Source organism: Homo sapiens, chromosome 9 (assembly GCF_000001405.40).
Source record: "Homo sapiens chromosome 9, GRCh38.p14 Primary Assembly".
Classification (NCBI taxonomy): domain Eukaryota; kingdom Metazoa; phylum Chordata; class Mammalia; order Primates; family Hominidae; genus Homo; species Homo sapiens.
In genome coordinates, this window is record NC_000009.12 from 109,219,914 (window position 1) to 109,243,816 (window position 23,903).

Sequence of the window (23,903 nt, forward strand, 5' to 3'; positions counted from 1 at the left end):
TTGGACACAGAGAAGTAGTCCCTGTGAGACTGAGGCCAATGCACAAAGAAAGACAAGATGAGCAGAGGTTAGAGGTAGTCAGAGAGAGAAGAAACTTAATGGTATCATTTTAGCTCCTGGTTCCAGCCACACCTGAAGCTGGCATTACCACTGAACTTTTCCATTATAAGCTCCAGTAAATGCCTTTATTTATTTATTGCTTGAAGTACTTGGGTTTTTCCAATTAATAACCCACATGCTTGAAATCAGAGGAGGTGTGTTATTTTGTCATTTGTGTGTGTAGAATTTCTTTTCAGTGGAAAAGGTAGAAACAGCTGTTCCAGGCCTAAGGAATAGCATGAGCAAAGGAACGGTGGTTGAAAGAGCAGGATGTCTGGAGAAGTGAGGAGGAAAGTAGCAGGAAGGGAGACTAAGACAGGCTGGGGCTAGTTATGAAGGGCTTAGAGTGCCTGGTTATCAAGGAAAGGGCTTAAGCAAGGGAGTTAGATTTTGGAGAGTTTGTTTTGAGCGCTGTGTGGAGGAGACTGGTTGGGGAGAGACTCCAGTATCTCTCTGTTAGGAGACTGCCGCAGGGCGGGATCTAGACTAACCTGGTGGATGGAGTGAGGTGAACTGCCTTCTGGGATATTTTGAAGCTGTGTAAGCAGGGCTTGCAGACCTGTCACTTGGGGACATTGGGAGGAGGTGTCATTGAGGACTGTGTTGCAGATGCAGGAGACAGTCCAGAAGAAATGGCACTATTTGTCCCCTACATTGCCCCATGAGCTGCATCTCTGACCCATCTTGGCTGCCTCCTGGAGACTTTGCTCAAGGACGGTTCTGTGTGTGTGCGTGTGTGCACGTGCGTGTGTTGGTGTGTGTGAGCATATGTGTGTGTGCGTGTGTGTGTGTAAGAATGTGGAAGAAGGCACGATTTTGGCTTCTGGGAAACACCATCCCTCCTCGCCTCTCCAACCTGAAACATAACCAGAGTATCCACCCTCTTCATGCCCCATGGAGGCAGCAAAAAGTGCCCTGAGTTGGAGTGGAAAAACCTGGGCTCAAGTCTTAGTTCCGCCCCTACTTTGCAGGAGAAGCTTGGGCAGTCACTCTGAGCCTCCATTCCCTCAGCTGTAACGTGAGTTGGGTTAAGCGATTTCTGGGCAAATTTAGGTATCTGAGAATCATCCTTTCCCCCAACTATTTATCCAGTACTTGCTGTATGTCTCAGATACTGTGCTAGCTATTTTACAGAAAAGATTCCCTTTTAAAAACATGGAGACCTTTACCTGTTATATAGCAGGTGTTCCATAAATATTTGATGGAAGGAAGAAGGGAGGGGAGGGAGGGGGAGGAAGGAAGAATGAAAGGAAGGATGGATTAATGAAGTTGTGCAGCTAGGATTTGACGACAGGTCTGTGGACCCCAAAGCCTGTTAATATTTTTCCTGTCTTGCAAATATGTTGAAAATAATATCTGTCCTAAGGAGCTGCAGAGACTGGGAGCTCATAACAGAGAAAATTCCCCTTTGCTTGGAAGGCCTGGAGAGGGCTTCCCAACTGAGGGGCTCGTCTTCCACCCTGCCCTTCTTCCTTGCTGCCGCCAGCTTATTAAAGGTCTGACACCATCATTGTCTAGGTGGGAGGGACAAATCAGAGAAACATCAAAAGGAAAAGATAGGGATACTAGCTGGATTTGAGAAAGGGAGAATGTGGAGATATGGAAGGGTCAGAAAACTCCAATTATTTTTTAGCCTAGAGGACCAGGCAAATGGCATGTCATTAATAGAAAAAAAGAGGTGGCAAATGAGAGCTGCTTTGAGCAGAGAAAATTATGATCGACCATCACGTGGGTAACAAAGAGTGTGAGAATGAACACCCAAAGGGAAAGATGTCTTGTAGCAGAGATCTGGCGTACATTCAGGGCTGGAGGTGGAGTTGGAAAGCTTTGAGTAAGAGTTCCTGAGGGATGGCAAATAGATATCATCTGTCATGCCAACTCCAATTGATTTGCACTCTCTGCTTGGAGTGCAAGATTCAGAAGGAGTCTGAGGTTGTGCCCAACTCAGGGGGAAAGAGTGCTGTGATTGATTATTGATGTCTGCCATGGACTTGGAAGAGCACAGTGGTATCATGCATTTGTCTTTCCAAGTTAAAAGTGAGTGGTATTTAAAACTTTTTTATTTCAAGGAAACCCAGAGTAAAGAGTTAAACAGTAAAAAGATATATATGCAGGGAGTGAGAAAGTGCATTTCATAACACGTCAAATAAAATATGCATGTGTGACCTTCATCTTATAGCTACTTTGGAGAGAGGCAGAGAAAGAAACAAATGAAAAGAGAAATAGATGAGGGTCAGAGAAGCTGCCTGAAGCCGCCTGAATCTGCTCAGGTGAAAGGTCTTTCGCAGAGCAAAGGTTCCTAAGCAAGCAGTAGAATGACTCGGGTGCTTTCTCAGCTCACACGCCTGGGGGATCATCCTGAAGATTCTAACATGGAGAAGTTTTGTGGGGTTGCTCATGGCTTCATGGATTGTGCCCTGCGGAACTCCTGGAGATGCCACTCACCGACTACAATGTAAATGACATTCACTAGGTTGCGCATCTTCCCTCTTCATAGAGACCTCAGAGGTCAAGCCCACCCTAGAAGGTCCAGCAGTACTCAGAGACCTTGGCTAAGGCCCAGGAGATGAGGCCTGCTGCACACTCAACATCACCAGAGACTGAGGTTCATGAGACTCCTGGCATTCTGGAAAGGAGGTCCCACATCCTGGTTTTCAGGGTGGGTGACAGAGGACAGATGTAGGCTTCAGTCTCTGCCTTCATGAGCTGGCAGTTGAAAAGAAATCTAGTGTGGAAGAAGGGGCTGCTATGTGCCTAGCACTGTGCTAGGCACTTTAATGGTTAATTTTCAGTTTTCCTGCAAGGAAGCTGCTGGTGCCCCCTTAGACACTGGGGCTTAGTGAAAGGGAGTAATGTGCCCTGTTAGTAAATGCAGAGTGAGAACTGACCCTGATCTCATTTCTTCTCTTCCCTTTTCTCAGGGGAAGACCCAGTTCCCATTTGGCCTCCAACTCCAGAAAAGCTAGTGTTCCTACTGGGGCCTAGCCATAAGAGACTTTATTGCTTGCAGAACAAGTGATGTTACAGGGGCTCTTCCAGCCCTGCCTAATCCCACATGTACCCCCAACCAGAGCATCTCCTCTCCCTGACCCTGGACTGCCAGACAACCAAACATGTGGTGCTCAGTCAAAATTGTTGCATGCTAGGCCGGGCGCAATGGTTCACACCTGTACTTCCAGCATTTTGGGAGGCCAAGGCAGGAGGATTGCTTGGGCCTAGGAGTTCGAGACCGGGCAACATGGGGTGATCCCATTTCCACAACAACAACAAAAAATTAACCCGGTATGGTGGCACATACTGTGGTCCTAGCTACTCAGGAGGCTTAGATGGAGAATTGCTTGAGCCTGGGAGGTCCAGGCTGCAGTGTGATCCAAGATCGAGCCACTGTTCTCCAGCTTAGGCAAGGAGCAAGACCCTGTCTCAAAAAAAAAAAAAAAAAATTGTTGCATATTGCATAATGGTATCCTCTGGAATCCACCACCAGAATTGTGACCAGTGCTGGGCATGGCTTTCTCTCAACAACAAGGCTGAGTGATCAATGCCCCAAAAAGCCAATCACAGACTCTACAGCTCAGCCCAGCTCTGAGTGACATGGGCTTTTCAGGGGAGCCCTGGGGATCTAATCCTGGATAAGAAATCACAGAATTTTAGAAATGGAGCCCCTCAGATATCATCCAGTTCGGTGGTTTGAAAACCTGGATAAATATTAAAGTGCCTAGGGGGAGGCCGGGCACGGTGGGTCACACCTGTAATCCCACCACTTTGGGAGGCCGAGGCAGGTGGATCACTTGAGGTCAGGAGTTTGAGACCAGCTTGGCCAACATGGCGAAGCTCTGTCTCTACTAAAAATACAAAAATTAGCCAGGTGTGGTGGTGGGCACCTGTAATCCCAGCTACTCTGGAGGCTGAAGCACGAGAATTACTTGAACCCAGGAAGTGAAGGTTGCAGTGAGCCGAGATTGTGCCACTGCACTCCAGCCTGGGTGACAGAAGGAGCCTTTATCTCAAAAATAAAATAAAATAAAAATAAAATAAAATAAAATAAAATAAACCAGGGGAAACTCCTATACACTGCTGGAGAAAATGCAAAATAGTGCAGCCAGTTTGAAAAACAGCTTGGCAGTTCCTCAAAGAGTTGAACATTAGTTACCATATGACTGAGCAAGCCCACTTCTAGTATATGCCCAAGAGAAATGAAAACAGGTCCATGCAAAAACTTACATGTGAATGTTCATAGCAGCATTATTCATAAGAGCCAACAGGTAGAAACACCCCAAATATCCATCAACTGATGAATGGATAGACAGAACATGGTCTATCCATACAAAAGAACATTATTCAGCCACAAAAGGGAATGAAATATTGAGCAGGCCATGATGTGGATAAACTTTGAAAACATGATATACTACATGAAAGAAGCCAGACACAAAAAGGACAAGTATTATATTATTCCATTTATATAAAACATCTAGAATAGGCAAATCCATAGAGGTAGAAAGTGGATTACCGGCTACCTAGGACTAGGGAGGATGGTGGACGGGGGGAAGGGGGAGTGACTGCTAATGGGTGTGGAGTTTCTTCTAGGGGTGATGAAAATGTTCTAAAATTATATTGCAGCGATGGTTGCACAACTTGGTGAAAATACTAAAAAACATTAAGTTGTACAATTGATGTGTATCTTAAAGCTGATAAAAATATCACAAGAAGAGGTTTTGAAAAGTATCAATGCCCAGGCCCTTCCCCAGACTAATTACATCATAATCTATCTCTAAATCCAATGTGTGGCCAGGGCTGAGAACCATTGCTGTAGTAGTCCAACCTCCTCATTTTGCACATGGGGGGATGGGGGCTCGCTATGGGGAGGGAGGTGACCAGGTCACACAGCAGGTACCTGCCTGATCCTGGGACACAGTCCAGACTCCTGCCTCTCTGCTCGCTGCCTCAAGTGCTGCCCATCTGCTGCCTCTTTCCATCTGTCTTGGCTTCTATTTAAGGCAGCAAGTGCACTCATCAGGAAAATCCAAGTCCTCCTCAGAACCCCCTGGCTAAGACATCCTTGTGTATGTATCTTGTCCTCCCAGCCATACAGTTAACTCTGTAGGAACAGAGACTGTCACATCACATGTTTTCGTGTCCTCCACTGTGCTAAGAAAAGTACTAAGCACATAGCAGGTGCTCAACTAATACTGGTTAGACGGAGAACAAAATGAAATATCAGTGCATTTGGTACATATTTGAAGGCCAGCTCTTGTGCCTGGTACTGTGCCATGCACAAGGATAAAGACAAATGAGATGTTATCTTTGCCCTGTATTAGTCCGTTTTCACACTGCTGGTAAAGACATACCCGAGACTGGGCAATTTACAAAAGAAAGAGGTTTGATAAATTCACAGTTCCACGTGGCTGGAGAGGCCTCATAATCATAGTGGAAGGTGAAAGGTACATCTCACATGGCGGTAGACAAGAGAGAATGAGAGCCAAGTGAAAGGGGAAACTCTTATAAAACCATCGAATCTCATGAGACTTATTCACTACCACAGTAGGGGGGAAACTTCCCCGATTCAATTATCTCCCACCAGGTCCTTTCCACAACACTTGGGGATTGTGGGAGCTACAATTTGAGATGAGATTTGGGCGAGGACACAGCCAAACCATATCAGCCTTCAAGGAGCTCACTGCTACCTTGATACATGGGGTAGGGGTGCCCAACCCAAGTGGAACCAACAAGGAAGACTTCCTGGGGTAGTGATGCTTGAAGCAGGTCCTGGCTCCTGAAGGATGATGGCAGTGGCTGGGGGAGGGACTGCATAGGGTGCTCTGGGTAGAGGGCACTGCATGTGCTAAGGCCTGGAGTTGGCAATGCATGCTAACTGGAGAGGGGACTTGCCTGAGCTCCATGTTGGCATGAGAGTGAACTTCCAGCTTTTATTTTTCACAATTCGATTATGAACTCATCAGGAGTTTATGTGTATATTGTGAAGTAAAGTCCTAACTTTTTCTGAAATGGAGAGCCAATTGTTCTAAGATCACCCAAAGAATCATTCACCCTTGCCCCATGAACTTGTGATGCCATCTTCATATGTGTCTGCCACTTTCCTGAGTGCTCTCAGATCCTTTCTCTGCTCCCCTGCAACTTACACTGTTTACAGGAAACTTTACTTCTCAGGCTCCCTGTCCTCTGGCTTTTACATAGGTTTGGTCAATGGGAGGCACTGACATGGACTGGAGGGTGAATACAGGAGACAAGTCAGGGTATTTCTCCTTCATTTCTTCATGCCTCCAGTGATGTTTCCAAAAGCAGCCATGAGTTCTCTGTGGCTCCAGCTCCCTCTAGACTGTCTTCCTGCTACCTTAGCTCCTGGGTGCTATAACACTGCCACTTCCCCTTGTCCCTCCAGCTCTAGGAGTGATAAGCAGGTTCTGTTTGTTGCTAATTTATAGGTTACCTCACTGTCCAATTAAGTTTCTTAGTTTTTTCAGCCCTTGTATAACCAATTCCCTGAATTAAATTCCCTCTGTAAGAAATGCCTAGAGTAGTTTCAGTTTTCGGATTGCCCATGACTTATATACAATCAAAACCTCTCTTTGGATTTTTCATATATATATATATATATATATGAAGAATATATATATATATGAAGAATATATATATGAAGAATATATATATATGAAGAATATATATATGAATATATATATGAAGAATATATATATGAAGTATATATATGAAGAATATATATATGAAGAATATATATATATGAATATATATATGAAGAATATATATGAAGAATATATATATGAAGAACATATATATATGAAGAATATATATATATATATTTGTTTTTTACAGACAGGGTTTCCCTCTGTTGCCCAGGCAAGAGTGCAGTGGCACAATCATAGCTCACTTGCAGCCTTGAATTCCTGGGCTCAAGCAATCTTCTTCTCTCAGCCTCCCGAGTACCTACAACTACAGGTGTGCACTACCACACCTGGCTAATTTTTCATTTTTTTTATAGAGACAGGGTCTCATCATGTTGCCCAGGCTGGTCTCAGATCCTGGTCTTAAGCGGTCCTCCCACTTCTCATCCTAAAGCACTGGTATTACAGGCATGAGCCTCTGTGCCTGGCCTCTTCATACTTTTATTGTTCTACTAATCTAATCCTATATCAGACTGTCTTAATTACTTTTGTTTTAATATATACATGCATATGTGACATTATAAATCTTATTCCCTTTCTCACATCATTCTTTTTCTTTTTTTTCTTAGCTGTTATCATGTGCCTAGTCTTCTAGATTCCTTTTGTGATAGTAACTTGAATTCTTGAATTCCAGAATTCAAGTTACTTCCAAAAAATCCCACTGGAGTTCTGATTTAAAGCATTACATATTATGGATTAATTTGAAAGAATATATTCGTAAGGAACATATTTCTCTCCATTTACTCAGATCTTTTAAAATGTCCTTCAGTTAGAATTTTTAAACTTTTTCATTAAGGTACAAAACATTAACTTTATTCCTAGGTATTTTTCAATTTTGTCACAATTGAAAATGAGATCTTATTAATTATTACATATCCCCCCCTTTTTTTTTTGAGACGGAGTCTTGCTCTGTCATCAGGCTGGGGTGCAGTGGCGTGATCTCGGCTCACTGCAACCTCCGCCTCCTGGATTCAAGCGATTCTCCTGCCTCAGCCTCTTGAGTAGCTTGGACTACAGGCGTGCATCACCATGCCCAGCTAATTTTTGTATTTTTAGTAGAGACAGGGTTTCACCATGTTGGCCAGGATGGTCTCGATCTCTTGACCTCGTGATCTGCCCACCTCGACCTCCCCAAGTGCTGGGATTACAGGTGTGAGCCACAACGCCTGGCCCCTATTGTCTAATTTTTTAATGACTAGATGGATATACAAAGCTGCTGACTTTAGGATATTTCTGCCTCTGACCACTTTGCACAACTCTTACCAGTTGGAATTCACTTGGATTTTAAGAAGAGAATCACGTGAATTTTGTTTCTTCCTTTCCAGTAGTTATTCCTAATTTTGTTTTCTTGGCTTGTTCCACTGGTAAGGTCTCCAGAATAATATTGAATATCAGCAGTTATCCTTGCCTTATTTCTGAAGTTTATACATTATCTAGTGTTTCACCATTAAATGTCAGTTTCTGATAAATTCTACTTATCAGGTTAGACAGTTCTTCCACTCTTAGCTTACTAAAAATCTTGAAAGATTAGCATGACTTATTCTCAGCAAATCTGTGCTGTTCCTAAGTCAACACTGCTTCCTTTACTAAGTGCTTACAAAAGACTCTGTTCTCAAACTTTCCTCAGTATTGCACTCCAGCTTATCAGCCTAGTTTTTGGAATTCATGTTCCAAAAAAAACTGTCCATCTACTTATCTAGCATTTTCCCAAGACTTTTTCAAAGGTATTGATGCTGACTCAGCAATGACAAGTGCAAATTTTCTCAGTGTTTTGGGAGACCATTTTTCTGAGCCTAAAGACTTGAGCTAATCAAAAAGCAGTAAAATATTTCCTGACTACTCTTTCTCTTATCTTGGACTTCAATTTTCTTCTGTTTGTTCTCTTCACTCTCTGCAGTTAGTATAGTGACTAGCTTCCTTGTTGAAAAAGAAAAAAGCACAACAAAAGTCAGGTAGCTCTGTTTCTGCCTGTTAGTCTCACATACCATCCTCAAAACTGGGTGTCATTAAATTGCTCATCTTTTTGCCCCAACTGAAGTGAGCATCTACAAAACTTTGGAGTCCTTATAAAAAGTTCTGTGCCGCTTTCTTTTTGATCATATGTTCCACCTTCCTACTCTTTAAAATACTATTACAAATTGTGGGTTCATCTGAGAGGCTCATAAAGCCTTTCTCTTTCGGATTATCTATGCTTTCTAAATTCACAGCCCATGTAAAAAATATTCAAGTCTATTTTCTATGACATTTTGAAATTGGATTTTCTAAACAGTAAAACATATATGATGTGATTATTTCACATTGCATACCTGTTTCAAAACATCTCATATACCCTATAAATACATACACCTAATATGTACCCACACAAATTAATTTTAGAAAAGAATATCAACAAGAAGAAGAAAAAGAATATGTGGAGAATTAAGCCCTGGATTTCACTCACTTCATGTTCATGATTCTGAGATGTCAGGGTTTTCTTCTTCCATGGATCTTGTTACTTACACATTTCCAATGCAGTCTTCCTTGCTGAACAGAATTTACAACAGTAATAACTGCAGGGTTTCTTCTACCTCCTAAGTAACCAAATCATCAGCCATGCAGGCCAAGAAATCAACAGATTCCCCGCCTTTAACAGAATGCCCATGTCTGGATGGTCAAGAAGTCCCCCATAGGTACTACGCCAGCTGATGCAGTAGGAAATGCAATGAACTTCCCCTATCCAAAGTCGCATACATCTCGTCTGGATTGCTCAGTGCACACGTATCAAGTGCTGCCTGAACTTGGACTTACTCCTCAGCTATTTATGTCATGTGTCTTCACTCCAAGTTGGGGTTCCTGGCGGCGGGATCAGTGTATATGTAGCCCACACAGTAGACTCACAGGTAGCACACAAGTTCTCCACACACCTTCTGGAGGAGCTGGTTGGGACAAACTGGTTCCTGTTTTACTTTAGCCTCAATGGGGACAATTCCATATTCCTAATCAGAATTAACACATTGGGGATAAGCTGACAAGGACCTCAGTAGAACTTTCCAACTGGTAAGCCTCAGAAGGGTTGCAAGTGGGCTGAACCATTTATTCTCCCAGTCCTTGGAGTAAGTGGGCAGGACATGGGGAGCCTGGAGCTTCAAGCAGCCTTGTCTGCTTGTCCCAGCATGCTATACGTCACTTTCTATGTGTGCCAAGGACAAGAAAAAGTCAGGAAGCCCTGCCACTAGTCCATACCCAGTCCATTCGCCCGGAACTGTGGCTCTCCAATTGGGACTCTCTTAGGATAATTGACTCAAGTAGTGTGTTTTTACAGCAGATGGTGTCAGCCAGAATCATACCTCCTGATTGAACACCAGTGCAGTAATCATGCTCTTTAAATATTCACAGAGCAAAAAACCCCAAAATCTAACATTTTTGAGTGCCCAGTACTTCACCATCAGTTAACTTAATCTTCCAACAACCATTTGAAGAAAGGACAATTATTATTATCTTCATTTTATACATAAGGAAAGAGGAGCAGAAAGACCAAGGAGCTTTCCTCAAGTCATGTAGCTAGTAAATGGCAGAGCTGGGATTTGAACCCAGGTAACCTGGGCTCTCTGAATTGCTAGGCAATACTGCTTTGCCATGTGTTTGGAAGGAGCAATCTAATGACAAAAAAGGAACATGCATTGGTACTTAGCTTGGCTTTGCTGCTGTTTGCCTACGTGACCTTAGGTAACTCACTTATCTGGGTGGCAGACATTGCATTTTTGGACATTAAGCATTCGTATGCCAGGAACTACAGCTCAATGATATAATTTGATCTGTGCCATGTCCGACTGAGAGATGAGAGAAAGTACAATTTACTCATTCTGGTTTCCCAGATAGCTGTCGCTTATTTCAATTTTAATTTGGTAGAGACTAAACAGACTGATACATTGTTACATGTTCTTATTGAATTCAGGGAAAGCATACTATTTGGCAACAAGTAGAGTCTATATTTGAAACACTGTACCTTTTTCATAATGGATTTTCGAAGAAAATTGTATCGACATCTTAGAAGTGTCATACATTATGAATGTTGTATCTATTAATTAGGGATGATTTCTTATAGCAACTTAGTGGTCTTATATCTAAAAAAAAGACTAGTGAGAAGGTTGACTCTACTTCATCTTTCTTTTCAGAAAAGGTCAAAATTGGCCACAAGTGGTGGCTCACGCCTGTAATCCCAACACTGGGAGGCCAATGTAGGCAGATCATCTGAGGTCAGGAGTTCGAGACCAGCCTGGCCAACAATCAGGATGAAAACTCAACACTACTAAAAATACAAAATTAGCTGGGCATAGTGGTGCACGCCTGTAGTCCCAGCTACCCAGGAGAATGAAGTGGGAGAAATGCTTGAATCTGGGAGGTGGAGGTTGCAGTGAGCCAAGATTGTGCCATTGCACTCCAGCCTGGGTGACGAGTGAAACTCCATCTCAAAAAAAAAAAAAAAAAGGTCAAAACTGCATTTTTGGGTGTAGTTTAGATTCCTTTATAGAGACTAATTGGCCCAAAACTTTTCCAATTTGTATTTCTTTCAAGAAATGTTCCAATCAACTTTGCAAGCAATTCTGATGCTAGCACAGTTGATGTATGAATCCATGCTAGATGGGGAGCTCTTGATCTGATGATGATTAGTTACCTGGAGCCAAAGATGGCATCTTCTTCAACATACCAGCACTGCACAGAAACATAGCAGAACTTTATTCAATTAATTAGTTTTAGTGCATTTAAATTTTAATTCTCCTTAGGTAATTTATCAAATATCTATTCATAAAAGTTGCACTTTTGACATGAATTCCCTACTTGTTCCTAACTACATTATGTAGTCTCTGCAAAACTGCAGATTAACATCCCACATCCTAAGGACTGACAAGAGCCTTTGGGGTTCAGTAGTTCCTGGGTCTGAGTCCTGTGTGAGGTAGGACAGGATATGTGCTTCCATCTCTGAGTCTGGAATTTTCTTTTGGCAAACAACTATCAAATGATTTCAATAAATAGGTGTAAGCAGGTCCCGACATTTTTCTGCCAGAAAGGCTGTTGTGTTGCAATGCTATTCTTGCTAGGTTTTGCAATGGCTTCCTCATTGTGTGTGTGCCTTCACAGGTGTGCATGTGTGTGCAGTCCAGAGAATTACTATTTCATGAGTTGATTTTTGCTCAGAGGCTCATGACCAAGTTTATTCAATCTTTTTCTTGCCTAAAGAAAAAAAAATACAAATATAGTTGTTTTGCCTTACAACAGTCACTTCTAATAAGCTAGACTTTCCATTCTGGGTTTCTTTTTTTTTTTGATGGAATATCGCTCTGTTGCCCAGGCTGGAGTGCAGTGGTGCAATCTCCGCTCACTGCAACCTCTGCCTCCCAGGTTCAAATGATTCTCCTGCCTCAGACCCCCGAGTAGCTGGGATTACAGATGTGTGCCACCACACCTGGCTAATTTTTGTATTTTTAGTAGAGACGGAGTTTCACTATGCTGGCCAGGCTGGTCTCAAACTCCTGGCCTCAAATGATCTGCCCACCTTGGCCTCCCAAAGTTTTGGTATTACAAGCATGAGCCACTGTGCCCGGTCACTTCTGGGTTTCTTACAGATTTTTTTTTTTGGTGCGTCTCATTTCTGTGTTCCTGTGCCTTTATTCTGTTTTTTCAGGTGGCAACAGCATTAACAGACTTTCCCCTAACCACTTGTTTAAATACATCCTCAAACAGTGTTATATGAGAGACCCCAAAGGGACAGTAAGACAAAAATAATCATTGTCACGAAAGCTCAGCTGTGAGTGTAAAATAATGTCCACAAAGCAGATTCTTTGTCATCCTGTGCACTCTGACAGAGCTACGGCAGACTCAGGCATGAGCTGGGAAGTGTTATTTTTCCACTCCCCAGACGCCATCCGGCTCACTGAATGAATGAAATTAAAACATTATTCATCCCGGAATGTAGTTCAGGTTAGATGAATAAGATGCATAATCTGTTAAGAGTAGGTTTTAGACATTCTAATTGCACAAGACACCAATGTGAGTCAGAGTTGGAGCTGAACACTGGGTACGTGTTTCTAGGGTGATACAGATGAGGATTAATTTATTTTGGTATTCATTAGTGCTTAAAAATTTCCGCAAATGATCCTCTCTCTGTTCCCCAATTCTTGCAGGTTTTTCAGAAGCTTCTATTATGAACATCCTTAGTTGGCCTCCGAAGCTGTAACACTGATATGAATTTTAAGGGCTTAATGGTTTAATTGCCTTTAATACAGACAGTGTCCATTATTCAGCCAGGGAATGAAGCTGGTTGAGCATTAGCATAGCAACACCTCTTGCTTTTGAGGTCTCAGTGCAGAATGTGGATGTTTAAACCATTCACCATTCAGTAGGGGACGATTAGGAGGTTTCTGTGGGTTTCTTATAACATGAGCCTACAGGGATGTTCCTCTAATTATTCTAATCCTTTTTTAGTGGATGGCCTAGACTACAGCAGTTTTAATATTTTAAATTCTGCAGCCTTTCATCCAATAAAACCACAGGTGACTCTTGGGATGTGGCTGTAATTTCAGTTCCAATATATTGAAACTTTAATTGTAACTAGAAGTACATCCATCCTTCCTTGGTCAATGCACCAGGGAAATTCATGATGTCTGGGTGGGTATCTAAGAAGCCTGAGTGGAAAGTTATCAATACCCTCCCAAACAGGAAAGGAAACACAGATATTCAAAATCAATTCCTTTCCCTTTGCTATCTTTATGTTGCCCACATTCCCTTTTTCAGTTCTGCAGGGCAGTATCATGCTGACTGTTACCTGAATTTCTGGGAACCTACTTTTTTTTTTTTTTTTTTTGAGATGGAGTCTCGCTCTGTCACCCAGGCTGGAGTGCAGTGGTGTGATTTTGGCTCACTGCAGCCTCCGCCTCCCGGGTTCAAGCGATTCTCCTGTCTCAGACTCCTGAGTAGCTGGGGTTACAGGCATGCGCCACCAGGTCCAGCTAATTGTTTGTATTTTTAGCAGAGATGGGGTTTTGCCATGCTGGCTAGGCTAGTCTTGAACTCCTGACCTCAGGCGATCCACCAACCTCGGCCTCCCAAAGTGCTACGATTACAGGCATGAGCCACCACGCTTAGCCTGGAAACCTACTTTTAAAAAAATGTCTGGTAAATATCAACTCATTCAAGCCTTCCCTTTCCTCACTATTATAAATGCTAAGATGACATGGTTAATTGTACTTCATCAGCCTGATCTTTATTAAGGAGCATGACTCAAGAATAGGGGTTTCAGATGGTTCACAGAAAACATATAACAAACCGTCTTTAGAAAGATTAAAAGGTGCATAGCCTTGTTCACAGAGAATGTAATTAAAACAGAAATTCTGGATTTTACCCATCAGACTAAGTTAAAAAAAAAAAAAAGCTAGCAAAGGCTATGATTTGCTTCCTGTGAGGTCACAAAGGCATTGTCATAATTGCTGGGGGTGTCTGTGAGCTGGGGGGAGTATAAACAGGTGGAATATATTTGGAGAGAAATTTCATTAGACAATATCCAACTTAAATATGCACATACCTTTTAACCTGGATGCTACTTCGAGGGAATTTATTCTACAGATAGATTTGTTCAAGTGCACAAACACAAGGTACAAGAATGGCAGCACCACTGTAACTTGAGGGAGTTGATGCAGCTTAAATGTCCATCAATATTGATTGGTTAAATATATGCTCATTTATACATGGAGTAGCTCTAGATTGACAAGGAAAAATGCTAACAATGTTTGCTTCCAAGGAAAACTGGGGAATAAGAAGGTGGAAAGGAAAAGTAACTTTTGGCTATTTGTATTTGAATTTTTACTATTGTTTGTATTATCTATCTTAAAAAAGGCAACAGGCCAGGTGCAGTAGCTCTCCCCTGTAAACCCAGTATTTGGGGAGGCCAAGGCAAGAGGATCGCTTGAGCCCAGGAGTTCACACCAGCCTGTGCAACATGGCAAGACCCCATCTCTACAAAAATTTTTTAAAAATTTAGCAAAGCATGGTGGTGCATGCCAGCTACTCAGGAGGCTGAAGTGAGAGGATCACTTGAGCCCCGGAGGTGGAGGCTGCAGTGGGCCATGATTGCACCACTGCACTCCAGCCTGGGTGACAGAGACAGACCGTGTCTCAAAAACAAACAAACAAAAACAACAACAAAATGGCAACAAAGCACAGTGGTTCCCTTTTGTTACTAACTTTCCACTCAGTCTCCTGATAGTTAAAATCTTCCTCCAATTCGTCTAAGATGAAATCCCAAATTAGACAAGGTGGGAATGGAGCAGACGCTCTGTTTCAATTCTCCAAGCCTCTGAGTCCCAATCGTAGCAGCAGAATGGACTCTCAGCCATCTCACCAATTCTTTACTCTATGCCAATTCTGCCATGTGCAGATGGGAAAGCATTGTCCACATTCTGCCTGGACAGTTATTTCCTAGTATTCTCGGACAGAAATATCATTTCTATTTCTTTTTTCTTTCCTCAAAAGATCCCCATGGTGTTTCTGCTCTGAGTTTGTTAGTTTCAAAGAGACATGTCTTTATATATGTGTTAATGCTCTTACATCTGATCTGTCCTTTGGAACCAAACACCCCTTTCCCTTTGTAAACTTAGAATATACATCTCAAACCATCAATCTATTAGAAATACCATTTCTTCAGCTAGACTTTTTTTTTTTTTTTTTTTTTTTTAGATAGAGTCTCACACTGTCACCCAGGCTGGAGTGCAATGGCGTGATCTTGGCTCACTGCAACCTCTGCCTCCCTGGTTCAAGCCATTCTTCTGCCTCAGTCTCCCAAGTAGCTGGGACTACACAGGCACACACCACCACGCCCGGCTAGTTTTTGCATTTTTAGTGGAGACAGGGTTTCACCATGTTGGCCAGGCTGGTCACGAACTCCTGACCTTGAATGATCCACCTGCCTTGGCCTCCCAAAATGCTGGGATTACAGGTATGATTCACCACGCCCGGCCTTGAGCTATTTTGAATCTCTTTGGCCTGTTTCTGTCCACATGGACAGCTACGACCTTACGAACCACTAAAAATTCTTACCATCTAGCATCAAACACTGCGCAAAACATCTTTTGTATATAATGTCATTTATTGATAATTCTCTTATCAGTGAGATACTGGTAAATTCCATCTGGGGATGAGGAAAATGAGGTGTCCAGAAGAAATTGGCCAAAGGTCCCATGGCTAGTAAGTGGCAAAGCTGGGATTCAAATCGTGTGAGATTCCAAAGCTTCCACACTTCACCTAATCAGAGAACTATGGGGCTCTTGTCCCTTGACAAAACCAGACCACCACACTGTGGACCCTTTAATCCTTCTCTCATCTGGCTGGCAATGTCTTGCCATTTTACTTCTGCAAACTTCCATCTGTTTCCCAATCATGGGCTCCAGTCTTAGCCCAGGTGCTTAGACTGGTGTATACACACGCCCAGTCCTTCTCCAACAGCTGGAATTCCCTAGTCCCTTGCTTCTGAAGTGGGAAGGGAGGGCAGAACACACACTTGGTTTGATAGATTGCAGGGGGCCAGTTAATGATGAAATTAAAGCCATATAAAGAACCACTAGAATGCTCGCATTTTTCTGCTTCACCTTGGGCCTAAGGAAGTGCATAGCTTTGCTGAGCAGACAGATCTAGTTACTTATTATGATGTGTCCATCCATTGACTTAACATTATGCCTATTTAAAAAAAAAAAAAAGAGTTGACCTCTACTGAGAGTTAAAATTGAGGCATTAAAATAACGATGAACACAAGCAGATAAGTAGCTTTGCTTTCCAAAAGTGAAAAGCAAACCTGGACTGCCCACCTCAGGCTGTCCTGGGCTGCTAAAATGCAGGATCTTGGGTCTTACCACTGACCATTTAGAATGCCACAATCCACATTTTTAGTAAGTTGTCCAAGCCATTCTTTAGCTCCCTAATTTTGGCAGAAGTGGGCCTATTTGCAGAACTATTGAGGATTTCTTTTGCTAAGGCTTAGCTGAATGTCCATTTTACATGTTTGTCTTTTTGATATCCCCAGGGTTTCTTACAATGTGCCATTTCTCATGTGCAAGGGACCTTTAACAGTGACTTGCTTTTTCTCTCCGCCCCCTTATGCTTCGCCTCTGCATCTGTCCACCGCCTCCTGTAGCAAGAGAGTGGAAGCAAATCATCCTAGACCAATGTAGGGTATTTTCCTGGTACGTTTGGAAGACTTGGTCAGCCAGGGAATTGATTTACAACTCTTAAGTTTGGGAAATACTGATCCGAAGGGATCAATATGGCTGTTCAGGGAGTTCTTTAATGAGCTCAGATTTTAAAGGACTAGTTAAAAGCTGTAAAGTCAAGGGCAACAAAAAGACTCTGTCATTACTTGTGTTCAGAGCGGGACCCAGGAGGCTGGAGTCGCTGACCTGGAAGGATGGTGCAATATTAACAGGCAAGAAGGACTGAGAGGAATTACCACACTGTCCTTATTCCTCCATCTTTGTGGTTAAGGAGAACCATCTTCAACAGAAATGGTAGACCAATAAACGAAATAGGCAAAAGGGTTTTGAAGACCAAGGTAATTAATTACCTGGCAGGATTTAGAGACTTCTGGCATGAATTACATCAATCAAATGACAACTGTCAATACACTGTTGGATGTTCTGAGGGACCACAGAAACATGAATAGATGATAAACCAGTACATACCCGAGTTCCAAAATGTAAAAGTTAATTCCATTAGTTATGGAATAGTGAGTGTGGTTTTACTGTCAAGTAATATTCCAGAAGACATTGTTCATTTGTGAACTCTTTGGAAGGAAGCCATAGAGTGGACCGTCTCAAATAAGCAGTGGTTCATTAAGAATAATGTCCAATCTCTGCGGGACTACTGCTGAATGATGCCTGTGGGGACAGGATTTTTAGACTGGGGGAGGGGTGGTAAGGTGTGGAGAGGGTTACTAGACCACTGGAGGGGGTGTGTTTGGGGAGAAGACAGTAAACAGCGTTATTAGATCACAGGTGATGGAGATGAACAAGGTTACCAGCCCTGGTGTGTGTGAGTGGGAGATATGGACAGTTATGACTGGTAGTGGTGATGGTGGAGGGAACATGGTTACCAGGCCACACTGGTGGGGGCTGTATGGACAGTTAGCTACCTACTGGTGTGGTGGTAATGCAGATGGACAGGGGTTACTAGATGGCTGGAGGGAGTGGATGGCTCTCTGGTTAGCAATTAGATTTCAGTGGAGTGAACTGTTCAACATCATCTAGCAGTCTCATGGAGATATGGATCCCCACGGTTGCAAATGGTGGGATGAAGGGTGAGAGGCAAGAGACCACTGTGGTTGAGACCATAGGCTCTGGAATACAGGCTGCTTGGTTAAACTCTAAGCCTGAGCTTCCCTATCTATGAAAAACAGGATACTACCCATCTCACAGAGTGGTCAGGAAATGAAGTGACACATGCAAAGCCTAGCATTAGATGACTAGCCCCTATATATTAGCGCAGATCAATGTCTACCTACCGGGGTTTCCAATGTCACGTGGCTGGACTTTCTTCTGCCCTGTACAGCATGATACCAATGCCTCAAACGAGAACACAGCTGACACACTGAGTAATATTCAGATGATGAAACTGAATCTAGAAGTCACATGGTGGTCAGTGTCCTACTCACAGTATGATGCCCCCATACTGGATAAGGTTGTTCAGATACCTTCAGACCAGCCCAGAGATGATGTATTATTGCCTGTTATCTGGTTAGACATCTCCTTTCAAATGAATGTGGAATAATCCATTTGCTGAGCAGACATTCACTGAGCACCTGCTATCTGTCAGGTGCTGGGGAACAAAGGCAAGTAAGACACAAAGCTCAGATTGATGCAGTGTACAGGTTTCAGGATGAGATAAACAAAAGAGCCCATTTTAATACAAAGCTGTAAGTGCAACGTTGCTATAGATGGGGGTAGAAAGGGAGGGGGTTATTACTGGAACACAGAAATTAACCCAATTTGCAGAGGTGGGGCCGTCAAGAGTCCCTGGGAGAAGATGTCTGGGCAGAGGCAGACATTGAGCAGGAGTTAGGGGAAGGGATGGGAGTGACAGAATTCTAGGCAGAAAGAACAGTATTTGCAAAGGCACAGATGTGAGTAACAGCAGGGTGTGGCACATGCCAGGAACCACAAGCAATTTGGCATTGAAGGATTTTCAACAGTAGGGTGAGAAATGGTGGATATATGCTAGAGCAAGAGGATGGAGACACGGAGTGGGGAATTCCACTGAGAGGCCCTTGGACTTCATCCTCAGGGTAATGGCAAGCACTGCAATGGCACAGGCCGACTGTGTTTTAGAAAGATCACTCTAGTGACTGGGAGGAGCATGAGCTTGTCAGGAGCAACTGGAGTCAGGGAGATCAGGAAGGGCACCTCTGAGCCAGAGAAAAGATGCTCCTATGGGATCCATGCCAGTAAGAAGAGAGAAGAAAGCCCAAGTATGAATACCAAGGCAGAGGTGAACAGACCTAGGTACTGTTTGGATATGGGTGGCGACAGGGAGAAGAGTTGTAGATGATGTATACATTCTTACTGTGGGTAAAAAAGGGAATTCAGGCAGAAGAAAAGTTTTGTGGGAGGAGGGTAAAAGATGATCGATTTGATTTTTGATAGGTGGAGTTTGACGTGTACACAGGATACCCAAGTTGAAATGTCAGTCCAAAAGTTCACAGGACAGTCTGGGTTACAGAGGATGGTTTCAGAGTCAACAGCATGATAAAATCATGACAGAATGAGAAGACTTGGGTAGACTGTGGTGAAAAGAGCAGTGAGCAGAAGAAAGACCTTTAGAAAACACCAACAGGTAATAGGATGGCAGAAAAGGAGGCTGTTAAGACTGAACTGGTCAACTGCTGTAGAGAAAGGTCCACTAAGTTAAGGAATGAAAAGTGTACACTTCATTTAACAATCAGGATATCATAAGTATGCATACTGGTGAGGCTTCTTGGTTGCAGACAACTGAAACCACTCAAGTTACTTTAAGCAGAGAGGTATTTATTAGAGGGTATTATATGGCATACACAATTTCCAGGAGCCCACAGATAAGGGTTTGGATGCCTTCCTGCCAGGAAGAGCACAAGTAGCCAGGACAAACACGTACCTTTACAGGACTATTACTGAGGAAATCCCACTGCCACCACTTCTCTCTACTCAGCACCTGTGACAGGCAGGACAACCTTCACCAGAGTTGCCCCAGATGAAGAAAGGCATCAGCTGCTGTGCCTATAAGATCCACTCTTGCCAAGAGCAGCCTCATTCTAGGATGATCTTGCTCCACCCACCTAACTGAATGCTCACCTTCAGACTTCCAAAAGCCAACTGTTCTGTTACCAAGGTCATTCACAAATGAGACTTCTGCATAGCAACAAGAATCAATTTAAAAAAAATGAAGATGGAGTCAAAAAAAAAGCAAGAATAATCTTTATTCCTTGGAAACACATTTGTAAAAATGCTATCAATAAGATGAAAAGATTCAGAACACATTTATTTGTATGCAGCACATACACTGAGCATCAGAACGTCTGCTAAAATGGAATACACCTGTAAACAAATGCCTTAGGGAGAGTTTATAGGTAGTCAGCTCCACTGTGCAAGGTATGCAGCTGATACCTTCTTGCTGAATAGATTTTTGCAGTAGCCAAAAAAGATCAGATTTTAGTAATAAAATATCTCAAAGGATGTCAAACATTTTTTAGAGGGCCTAACATGGGCAAAATTACAATTACATATACAAAAATGGCACAAGAATCAACTGATTTCACAGAAATACTAATAAAACATTTCAGGTCTATTATTAAGAGAAAAAAATGTTTGACTCAGGGCTTGAAATGGGGGAAATAAATATTTTGGTACAAGCTTTAACCTAAAAGACAACATATTGATTTCTGGTTCTACCAACAGACTAGGGCAACAACCATCTCATCCTACTCTACAGAATGCTTTGGCACAACTTCAAGAAAACCTTATATGCTTTCATTTGAGCCATAAATGATCTTGATTGCACGTTGCTTTTTAAGAGTGAAGTCTAGGGTAAAAACCAATCCCCCAATTCTGACAGTGTGTATTCACAATTATGTCTTCTGAAATCACGCAAGTTAGCAGCACCAATCATTAAGACATTAAAAATTATTCCCATACTTGAGCAGCAAATTCGATCAAAACAAATGCTATGCAATTTAAGATTAGTACGACTGCTTAAATTCAAAGTAGCTCAACTGCTTTAAGATGTGAAATTCAAAGTCCCCCTGTATCTATATAACATCTAATAAGTTATATACTTTATTTAGCTTCTGAAAGGAGTAACTCTGTCAAGGAAGTGGGTATTGCAGTTTTCCTTGTGATAAAATTAGTTTGAATGTATGTCCTCAACCTAAACAAAATGAAATGTTAACAAATTGCAGAATTTTAGAGTTGGAAAGGACCTTGGAGATCACTTAGTCCAACCCTCTCTTTTCAGATGGGGAAAATGAGGTCAATGAAGGGGAAATGACTCGTCCAGGCCACACTAGGGAAACTGGACCCTAGCAATCTCAACTTCTACGACAGGAATATATGCTGAGCAATCTTCCCAAGCTCTTCTGGTTTTATTTGCTCCCATTAATTAAATAACAAAGAACATCAGGAACATAGTAAAATGATAAACATAGACTTTGACTCCAATTTTAAAATCAGAACATCAATATGATTCCTGAGCCTTTACCTTCATTTTAATGAGAATGCAGTCAACAGTAAATTATGACAAGCTATAGTGGTTTTATCTTCAAATATTTACATGGACACCAAAAACACCTTTCAGGACTACTCCTTAAAGACACTCGTCCAAACACATCCATCCATCTGAGGCCAAGACACTTTTCATGGAATGCAATGAAACTATGAAGGTGAATGGAAGAGAGATGCTTCAGTCTCTCAAAGTGCAGTCATGAGTTTATCTCGATACATCATACTTTGCATCCCTCCTAAGTTCTTCTGGTTCTGGTCGTGGACATAATCAAAATGGCTGTCATCTCCACTGGCCGATGCTTTCCAATGCGACCTGTCATCCTGAAAGGATGGCCTGTTTTGTTTGCAGAGCGAATGGTTAGTGGGAGAATGGAAGAAAATGCAGAAATGTAAGTGAAACAACACAAGCACAAAGGAAATGGGGCAGGGGGAACCATGAGCCATGTGAATGGGGATGGCTATGAATGGAAATGAATGGATTTCCTAGTAAGAATTTTAAAAATTCAGATGCAGATCACCTATGAACTTCCAAGCAGAGCAAGGGTCTGTCTATGGTCAAGTCATCATTTCTCAAAGGGTGTCTCATGGGTCAAGTCCGTCTGGAGAAAGCTAAGTGAAGGTGGAAAATGTTCCATTACTACAGGGCTGCTTGGAGGCATGCCAGCATGCACCATGAATGCCTCAGGCAGCATTTGCCAAAAGTGTTGGACTAACAAACTCTGTTTTCATGGGGTATCTTTGTAGAGCTTGAAAATACACAAAATGTTGGGCCCCACCCCATAGATTCTGATCCAGTAGGTCTGGGGTGGGGCTGAGAATTTGCATTAAACAAGCTTCCAGATGACACTAAAGCTGCCAACAGCAGGCCCACCCCAGAGAGGCACTGTTTACGGCTTTCCTCAGAAGGCCTGCTTCTAGGCCATGCCTCAGAAGGAAACTAACATGATAAAACAGGCAATGATAAGCACAAACTTTTGTAAAAACAATGTTAATTAAAATAGCGTTTCTAGAAATCTCTTCTGTTTCTTACGTCTGAAGAATAAAGCACCTTTGAAATACAGTAAGATTTAGAATTATTACTCCACTAACCTAATCTGCTTTAAAAAGTTAAGTGACTACCAAGTGTTTATAAACAATCACGCTTTGGGGTTACAAAATTCCCCAACAAACTTTTTTTTGGCCTTGCTCTAAGTGGGTTTATTTCCAGCATTTTATTCTCCATACTTTCTCAGAGAAAGGCTAGCAACCTCACCTTTATGCAAACTGAACTTGCCAACTATGTTTCTGAAATAGCTTCACACATAAACACCAATTAAGACTGATCTAAAATTCAAATCTTAAAAGGAACATTTGCTTTCACAAAGCTAGCCTTAAAAAAAAAAAAAAAAAAACAAAAAACCTGTCAAGCCTAACTATAAACACAGTCCAGCAGATGCCAGTTGGCTTAGAAAGGATTATGGTAGGTTGGGGCCAAGGTTGGTAAATGGCAGCCCTCGGCCCAATCCCACTGTTTTTCTAAATCAGTTTCATTGAAGCACAGCCATAGCCTCTCATTTATGGATTGTCTAGGGCTGTTTTCAAAGTACAATGGCAGAGTTAAGGAGTTGTGACAGCGACCACAAAGCAGAATATATTGACTGTCTGATCCTTTACAGAAAAAGTTTATTGACCCCTCAGTTTAGGGAAAAAATATCTATTGCCACAAAAAGCAAACTCATTCCCCCAGCCCACCCCCGCAAAAAAAAAAAAAAAAAAAAAAATCCTTAAAAAAAAAAAAACCCCATGACAACAAAATCCCCAAGCTTTCATCACATTTAAAGTAAACAAATTCTCAGGACAGAAAAATGTTACTTAGAAATTTTCAGTAACATCTTGAACACAAAACTAAAAACCAAGAATATATGAGATCAGAATGATTTTAAAAAATCAATTCATTTTTTATTTCACAAAGCATACCTTTGATACATCCACACACATCACTGGCTACCTTTGCTTTGAAAATTTATTCATCTCGGCCATGACAATGCATCCCTTAAGGGTTATTTCTGATGCAGACTTTCTACTCCTAACTAAGCAGAATCTGAACTTTTCTAGAGAAAGGAAAGCTTTCGAAGGTGCAGCTCTGGAAGCACCAGCACTTACCTGACATTTGGAGAGTGAGGATGCCACCGGGGCTGGCTGGGATGGATATTAGGATGATATTGAGGCTAGAAATAAAACACCAAACTTGATTATTTGATGACCTTTTAATTTCAATGGTCCTCATTCGCTTTGTCTGTTCCTGGCATCCACCCGAGGGGCTGGGGGACTAAGAATGGAAAGGCTATAGACCCTGGCTAGG

The 23,903-nt window shown here is 42.2% G+C and overlaps 1 protein-coding gene across 9 annotated transcripts in view; it reads right to left on the reverse strand.

Moving 5' to 3' along the window:
- The window catches only part of EPB41L4B (erythrocyte membrane protein band 4.1 like 4B), a 149,086-nt gene that overhangs the window by 47,940 nt on the left and 77,243 nt on the right, over positions 1 to 23,903 (reverse strand). For 8 of the 9 annotated variants that reach the window (XM_017014815.2, XM_017014814.2, NM_019114.5 and 5 more), the window contains exon 15: positions 23,705 to 23,769. In XM_017014815.2, the coding sequence (XP_016870304.1) occupies positions 23,705 to 23,769 (65 nt within the window). Of the gene's footprint in view, positions 1 to 19,813; positions 21,897 to 23,704; positions 23,770 to 23,903 lie in introns of those variants that run through there. The other variant, NM_018424.3, reaches the window with a different exon arrangement.